The sequence below is a fragment of the Homo sapiens genome, chromosome 1 (assembly GCF_000001405.40).
Source record: "Homo sapiens chromosome 1, GRCh38.p14 Primary Assembly".
Taxonomy (NCBI): Eukaryota; Metazoa; Chordata; class Mammalia; order Primates; family Hominidae; genus Homo; species Homo sapiens.
Window position 1 is genome coordinate 120069826 of NC_000001.11, and position 8719 is coordinate 120078544.

Here is an 8719-nt window from a genome sequence, read left to right on the forward strand (position 1 = left end):
GCATCCTTCTCCAGCGGCCCCGGGGGCCGCCGCGCCTTAACTCGATCAGGGCTGCAGCGGCTCGCTGGCTTGACCAGTGCAGAAGGGGCGTGGGGGTGAGGGGGGTGGGGTAGGACTCTGAACTTCAAGCACTGGAGTTTGCCGGGATCGTGAACTTGCAGGGAGAGGCGGTCCTCATCCAGTGAGGTCTGTATCGCCACCTACACCCACACATCCACACACTGCTTTGCTAGCTAGAGGAATGCTCTGGAGTAGGACCAGTGCTGTCAAAGAAGGAAAGTGGGCCAAGGCGCCAAAGTCCATTAAAAAGGAATAGAGCCATCACGGAGTGGTGCTGCCCCATTCATTCATTCATTTGTTCATCCGTGTAGCGAATATTTCTTAAGTGCCTTACTTTGCGTAGCTGTGTGCTTGGCAGTGGGATGATACCAAAGATGCACAAGCAACTTTGAGTACCAAGACTTTGCCGCTGTGGGCTGGGGGATTCAGGGAAGGCTTTCCCAGAGGAGCTGGGATGAAAGCAGGATCTTGAAAGGTCAGTAAAATTTGTATAAGACAAGGAGACCAGCTAAGCTAAGGATATTCGTTGTAACACTGTAATAGCAAAACCTTGAAAACAACATAAATGCCCACCCTTAGAGGAATGGATGAATAATGTATGGTATATTTATAAAATGAAATGCAACACAGTAATTGAAAAGACTATAGCTATTTATGTCAATAGGGATAAATCTTAAAAACTAAATGATAGTGAAAAAACTAATCACAGAGGGAGACAAAGTATACCATTTATGTATATTTTTTTCAAGACAATACTACACATTATCTGTGGATGCATATATATAGATATAGATATTAAGAGACTATAACCAGAATAGTAGTTACTTCCAGGGCAGGAGAGTAGGGGGTGTGATCAAACCTGGGTACAAGTGGGCTTCTAAGAAAAGAGCTAAAAGTAAGAACAGCAACAATAGTTGTATGGACATATCATTCCAGGAAAGAGCCCTCGTGAAAGCAAAGGTACAGTCAAAAGAGTAAGTAAATGAGTTCTGTCTCTGTTAGCAGTGAGAGGAGTCAAGGACGGAAAGGGGGTTGGGACCAAATTATGCAGCCTTGAATGGCAAGCTGAAAGGGTGGGGAGGCAGCTACCTCTTAGGTCACATAAAACTATTGAAAGTTTTTGAACAGAGTTGAGATTGATGGAAAGGAAGATTGCTCTGATAATTCTGTAGAAAATTGATTGTTGGGGGAGCAAGAGGTGAACTGGAGCCCCAGGACCAGTCAAGAGTTGGTGAACAGTCCAGGCACAAATTTAAGAAGACCTGAACTAATAAGGTAGATTTCAGAAGGAATGAATCCGAGACAATGTTAAAGAAACAGAAAAAAAAAATGGAGGTGTGACTAATTGGATGTGGGAGTTTACAATCCTGTTGGGATGGGAAATCCTACCCATAGAACCTCTCCCTGACTCCTATAGGATAAAATTCAAACTTCTAAACATGGTACATACAAGGCCTTTTCGTCATTGGGCCCCATCTCCTGTCCTCCCTGCCCCTGTTGTGAACTTCACACAATAACAGTATTGACTAACTTGAGATTCCCCCAAACATATCTTGCTGTTTCTGTCCCTGTATCTTTTGTTCCTTTGGCTTGGAATGACTCCTGTAGTCCCCTTCCCTCCTCCTCTTAATGAACTTCTAATCATAATTCATCCTTCAGTCCAAAGAAGGCTTTGCCGACACCGCAATAAATTCCTCCCCCTAACAGACAGTCCCTCCACTGTCTTCCACTGCCGCTTCTTTATCTTAACACCGATACTTATTTTTCACACAGGACTCTTTGTATTTCTGTGTTCTCAACTAAGTTTTGAGGTCCTCATGGGCAAAGACCACAGCCTATTAATCCCCAGTGTCTATCACATAATAGATGTTGAACTAGAATGTGAAACAACACTAAGCAAGTACAAGTCAGTATGGGCATAGACCTATGAAGTTCCAAAACTGCATGTTAACAAGCACTTTAGGTAAGCAAGTACCATTAGTGAAAGTAGTCACATTGAAATACTGGAAACCCTTTTCAAAAATAATGTAGTCAAAATATTTTTGGAATTTGTCTTGTGCAAGTATGTTCAGAGAAAGATAACATTATTTTTCAGTTGTTTACCCACAGTGTTACCAGTTCGATCTTCCTCTTTACTCACTAAAGATAATTCATAGTGACTTGGCTGCATACAAATTTTAAAAATCACCTGCAAAGATAAGTTTTGTCACTATTAAAATATATTCAGAAGAATATAAGATAGTTATCCCCAAAGAGCAACTCTAGAAGCGACTGTAGCTATGACAACATTATTAAAATAAATGTGCAGGCCAGGCGTGGCGGCTTATGTCATAATCCCAGCACTTTGGGAAGCTGAGGTGGGCAGATCACCTGAGGTCAGGAGTTTGAGACCAGCCTGGCCAACATGTTGAAAACCCGTCTCTACTAAAAATACCAAAAATTAGCCGGGCATGGTGGCGAGCACCTGTAATCCCAGCTACTCAGGAGACTGAGGCAGTAGAATCACTTGAACCCAGGAGGCAGAGATTGCAGTGAGCCAAGATCGTGCCACTGTACTCCAGCCTGGACAACAAGAGTGAAACTCCGTCTCAAAAAAAAAAAAAAAAAAAAAATAGGTATGCAGTTTCTCAAAGTAACCGTTTTAAAGAAAGCAGCTATTATGTTCACATATAACTTTTGTTGAATATGTTACAATATGAAAACTTACTGCATACATTCTGGTAAGGACAAGAGAAGTAAAGAGTAAATATGAATGGAAGTAAGGGAAAAATATGACTGAAGACATTTTTTAAAGATAAGTTTTAATGATAGAAAAATATGAATAAGGGCTACCAATTGTTTTAGTTTTAATCAAAACTAAAAATATACATCTATGTCTTTACTGATTTAAACTCACATAAAACTGCCTTCCAAAATAAATGCAGAATTGGGCACTTATTTGTTCTCATGTCTGTCCTCTCAGAGCCGATAAGCTGTAAAAAAAACTCTCAAAATAAAACTCTGTTTTATTTTCTGTTTTGCCTCGGTTTCTATCACATAAGTGCTCAATAATATATGTTTTACATAAATGCTGAATGAGGAACATATATATCTATATAAACTGGGGAACAATGCAAGACTGGAAGAATGTCTTGGTGTGTTGGAGAAGTTGAAGAAGAGATTGTGGGATAGCTATGACACATAGATTGAGCTACACCACGAATCTCTCCATGTAACCCAGGAACCCAAGGATATGTGATGAGATGTTTGTGGAAGCAGGAATTAAAAGGAAGATTTCTTTTAATAATGCCTTGCAGTTGCGCAGTGATTTAGACCTTCCAAAAACACTTTTAATTATATTATCTCATTTGATCCTCAAAACAATCGTGGGAAATAGGCACCCCAGTCATTATTATACCCATTTTGCAGATGAAGAAACTGAGATAGAGCTTTAAGTATCTTGCCCAAGGTTAAATAAGTAATTAGTGAGCTGAGACAAACCCCCCACTATTTCTGTCCTCTTACTCAGTCTCACTCCACTGTACCTTTGTGCAACAATGTGAAGCACATCCAAGATGATATTTAGTGTGGGGACCTCTGTGTAGAGGGACACCAGCTTCTTGTCACTTCCATGTTAGCACAGAACAAGCTGACCCACTGTAACTAGGAAACATAAACAAGTGAATAAATTCTTTTAATTTAAAATTTTTTTGAGAGCCTGTTCTCTACAAAGCACATACTAGGCTCTGCGGCAATGCAGAAATAAATAAAACCCAGTCCCTGTTCTTTGGAGATCACAGAGCAGTGAGGCAGGCCAACATACAAATAACATAACTACAACAGAGATAAAGCACAGGGATATGGGAAAGTAGAGAGCACTGGGATTAATTTTGAGTCCACTTTCCTCTCATCCAGTCCCCATCCTGAAAGATATGAACTGTGGTGGCCCACACAGCTGGACTGTAAGCCATGTGACAAGAGTCATTTCTTACCCCTTATTCATGTTTGTAAACTCCACAGTAGTTGGTTCTTTGCCTTGCACAGAGTATGTGCTCAATAAAGACCTACTTTCTGAAAGGTTCACAGAGTTCAGCCAAACACAGGACAAGTTCTAGAAGGCAAGAAGTTAACCTCAAGATTCAAACTAGCTCTGAGAATTAAGAACCAGCCAGACCCTTCCACTGAGCCTAGACCCAATTAATTACCTCTGCTCTAATTAAGGGAATCAGTAATGTAAGTAATTGTAATATGGGCGATATAGTTTGCCTGTGTCCCCACCCAATATCTTATTTTGAATTGTAATCCCCATGTGTCAAGGGAGAGACCAGGTGGAGGTAATTGAATCATGGGGGCGGTTTCTCCCATGCTGTTCTCCTGATAATGAGTGAGTTCATGAGATCTGATGGTTTTATGTGTTTGGCAGTTCCTCCTGCATTAATTTTCCTTCATGCTGCCTTATGAAGAAGGTACCTTGCTTCCCCTTTGCCTTCTGCCATGATTGTTAAGTTTCCTGAGGCCTTCCCAGCCATGCTAAACTGTGAGTCAGTTAACCTGTTTCCTTTATAAATTACCCAGTCTTGGGCAGTTCTTTACAGCACTGTGAAGACAGACTAATACAGTGGGCTTGTTGACATAGTTTTGCCCTTTTATGAATGTGATTATCTCAATTTTATTGATGTTAAGGAAGGACACAGTGGCCCACACCTGTAATCCCAACACTTTGGGAGTCCAAGGCAGAAGGATGGCTTGAGCCCAGGAGTTCAAGACCAGCCTGGGCCACAAAGTGAGACCCTGTCTCTACAAAAAATTAAAAAACTAACTGGGCATGGTGATGCATGTCTCTAGTCCCAGCTACTTGGGAGGCTGAGGTGGGAGGACCACTTGATCCCAGGAGGTTGAGGCTGCAGTGAACCATGTTACCACTGCTGCATTTCAGCTCGGGTGACAGAGCAAGACCCTGTCAAAAAAAAAAAAAAAAAAACTTACCTAGAAATTTCACATCTTCTGCTATGCTTCAGATAAGCAGGAAAATTCATATAGGAATGCTCACTGTATCACTCCCTTAAAATCTTCTTTTAAGCATTTTATGCTAGGAGGTATTACACTTCAATTCCTAAGTAGGTGTGTACTTTTTGTATATAATGATGTATGAAAGGGTTGACCTGTATGCATCAAGATGTCTCCCCAATTTAACAGTATCATAAATTCACAACTGTGTAATTATCAAACCACAGTATTATTGGATGAGTCTCAGTGCTTTAGTCACTAAAATGGTTATGCAATTTTGAATATTTATTGACGTTGTTCTCAGGGACTGTTGAATTGTTTTTACTCACATTCTTATATTCTTCCTTCATGATTAGCCAAGACATTCTTGACAGCAAGATTCAGGCATACAGAAAGTTTCTACTTCAAAATATGGAAAATCTTCTTACCATCTAGGTGCAGATCATATCTAAGTCCCCTGAAGAAAAAGAAAATGGAAACTTTTCTTACTAAGTGGAATTCAAAATGGTTAACTAAGTATGAGAGAGGGGACATCAAAAGTAAGGAAGAGAAATCCCATTATAAAAAGTGTGCACAGGCCAGGCACAATGATTCACACCTGTAATCCCAGCACTTTGGGAGGCCAAGACGGGAGGATTGCTTGAGGCTAGGAGTTCAAGACCAGCCTGGGCAACATGTTGAAACCCTAACTCTACAAAAAATACAAAAATTAGCTGGGCATGGTGGTGCACGCCTATGGTCCCAGCCACTCAGGAGTCTGAGGTGGAAGAATCACCTGTGCCTGAGAAGTCAAGACTGCAGTAAGCCATGATCACACCACTCCACCACTCCAGTCTGGGTGACAAAGTGAGACCCTGTCTCCAAAAAAAAAAAAAAAAATGCATTAAAAATCTCCTTCTAAGTAAGTAATTCATTGGGAGATAATTAATGGCTGGAAACAGGTATTTATAATGGAAGCATACATGGCCTTAACGATAGGGTTTGCTTCTGAAAACACTCTAATTAAAAAGGGGAAGAGTAATTTTATAGGAAAGTACAAATCAGTGGTGTGTATGTCTACCAGTGTGTGCAAAGAGACAGAGGTGGTAATTGCTGGACTCAGACCAGGTATCAGCAACAACTAAACATAATGACCTTATAAATATGCAGATAGGATTTCTGACAAAGCTAAAAGTACATCATTATTATTATTCATCAATGTGGAATGGAATGTGAAATTGGAATCAGCAGGTGAGGGGTGGTTGTACCTGAATATCCTGGATACCAACTTGTTTTTGTTTTTAATCATTCTAATCTCTGTTAAGAATAATGTCACATGACTACTTTATCCTCTTTCTCAGACCACTGATCCAACCATTTCTCTTTCACACTTTTGCCTCCTTTCCTCTTATAACAGGTACTAACAGTCTAAGCAGAAAAAGAAGAACAGATGGTGGTAAGACCTAGAATGTTTACCCCATTAAGATCTATATCTGAATCCAGAAGGAACACCTCATTGCCGAGAAGAGCCCTGCAGACAGTTCACACCTCTGTTTCTTTTGCAAGATATAGCTACCTCAAAAAATCCTTTCTTGATCAAACTCTTATGGCCTGGAATCCTTGCGTTTCTGCTGATGACTGTCATTTTAGAGTACTTACTAAAGACAATGGTTGGGGAAATAGATATTTTAAAAATAAGGGAAGAAGTGGGTAGGGTAAACCCAGGCTTACTTATGTAAACTCTGAGTGCTGAAGTTAGAAGACAACCTTTAAGATTAAAAAAAAAAACAAACAAAAAAAAACGGCAAAGTTAGAACACACAAAAGATAGTATAGTTCCTTACCCATCCACCACTTGGTTTTGAGGAGAAAAGGGAAATAAGAAGAGTTGAAGAGAAGAAAAACAGAACAGAAGAGTGGGAAAGGAAGATGAAAGGGTGCTCTGGAGTACTATGCACCTGTTTAGAAGTGGGGAAGTAGCACAAACACTAGCAAAAGAAGAACCACCATGGAGTTCCTCCTTGCACATCTCTCTCCCCTCCTGAAGGCCTAGGGTGAGCCCACAGCATTGTTCCAGCAGTGAGGGAGTCTTCACTGCCCCCTGAGACTCTCTCACGGCTCTTAAGATACCTCCCTGAAGTCCCTCCAAAGAATTCAATGTGCCCCTAGTCTAAATCAGTTTCCTCCATCATAAATACTCATAGATGATGCAACAATAAAACGTTAATAACGATAATGGCAATTTTGTGTGTCAAACATTGTATTAAGCACTTTACCTGCTTTATTGTTTGTAATGCTTCAACAGCTTATGAGTAGGTATTATTATTTCTACTTTACAGTGCAGAAAATGAAACCTGAGTAAGTTGTCTTAGATCACACAGCTGCTAAGCAGTGGCACAGGGATTTAAGCCCAGGTCCATCTGATCAACTCCGATGGCACATAATTGACCTCTGCATTGTCCCGCCTGCCCACAGGTCACTGCCTCAGTGATCCAGTCCCATCCGTTGTTTAGATAACTGAATAAGTTATCCTCGAATCATTTATTGTAAGCCTAGTCTCTCAAGTTTACTGTGAGTCAAGGGCTAGGTCATATACCTCTTTTGTGCTCTTCTATATCGTGGCATCCAACCTCTTGCTTGTCAGCTTCCAACTCTGGTTCAACTTAAGGACTTCTTTTCCTGGCATCTGCCCCTTATATGGGAGGTGTTCATACAATTCTACTGATTGTTTTCACCTTACAACTTTTTATTTTGAAATACTCTCTTCTAAGTGTTCCTAGTAAATTTTTTAAAGCCAGCAAGGAAAAAAAATTCTATTTATTGCCAACTAATTATAAACATTAAAACATCAATTTAAAATTTAAAGGAAAAATGACCTATAATACCACCACTAATAGCATTTTCATGTGTTTTATTCATTTGTTCTTCATATGTATGTTCTTACAGAGTTGTAATCAAGACATACATATAGTTTTGTTTTGTTTTGTTTTGTTTTTTTAAGATGGAGTCTTGCTCTGTCGCCCAGGCTGGAGTGCAGTGGTGCGATCTCGGCTCACTGCAACCCCCACCTCCCAGGTTCAAGTGACTCTCCTGCCTCAGCCTCCCTAGTAGCTGGGATTACAGGCGCACGTGACTATGCCTGGCTAATTTTTGTATTTTTAGTAGAGACAGGGTTTCACCATGTTGACCAGGCTGGTCTCGAACTCCTGACCTTAGGTGATCCACCTGCCTTGGCCTCCCAAAGTGCTGGGATTACAGGCATGAGCCACCATACCTGGCCGACATACATATAGTTTTTATCCAGATTTCTTAGGCAATTCATATACCATAAATATTTTCCTTTGTTGTACATAGTTGCCATACATAGCATTGTTATTGTCTGCAAAATATTCCAGCCTTAATTAATATATAGAGCTAGAATACTTTCTATATTAGTATTGGGATCTGTATCCAGAAGTTGTCCATCTTATTTCAAAGACAGCCTTTGGGGACAATCCCTCCATACTTCTTTTATTGCCAATCACAATTGGATGAATAAGTGGACTCTTTCTTTGTCTTGAATCAGGGAGATGGATCAGCCCAAAAGAATCCCCTGCTGTTGTTCTCCAATCCCCTCCCTAGCATTTACAAGTCTTCACCTCTCTGCTGTAGCCTCTTTCCTTCTTTCTGTTCCCCATTTTCTTCCCAGCAAAAGG

General features: G+C 40.5%; 1 long non-coding RNA gene across 1 annotated transcript; it reads left to right on the plus strand.

Annotated features, from left to right (window-relative positions):
• LOC101929178 (uncharacterized) lies at nucleotides 3-7266 on the plus strand. Its single transcript, XR_254374.4, has 2 exons — nucleotides 3-186; nucleotides 6443-7266. It is a non-coding gene; the product is annotated as an uncharacterized LOC101929178 (long non-coding RNA).
• The last annotated feature ends 1453 nt before the right edge of the window (nucleotides 7267-8719 follow it).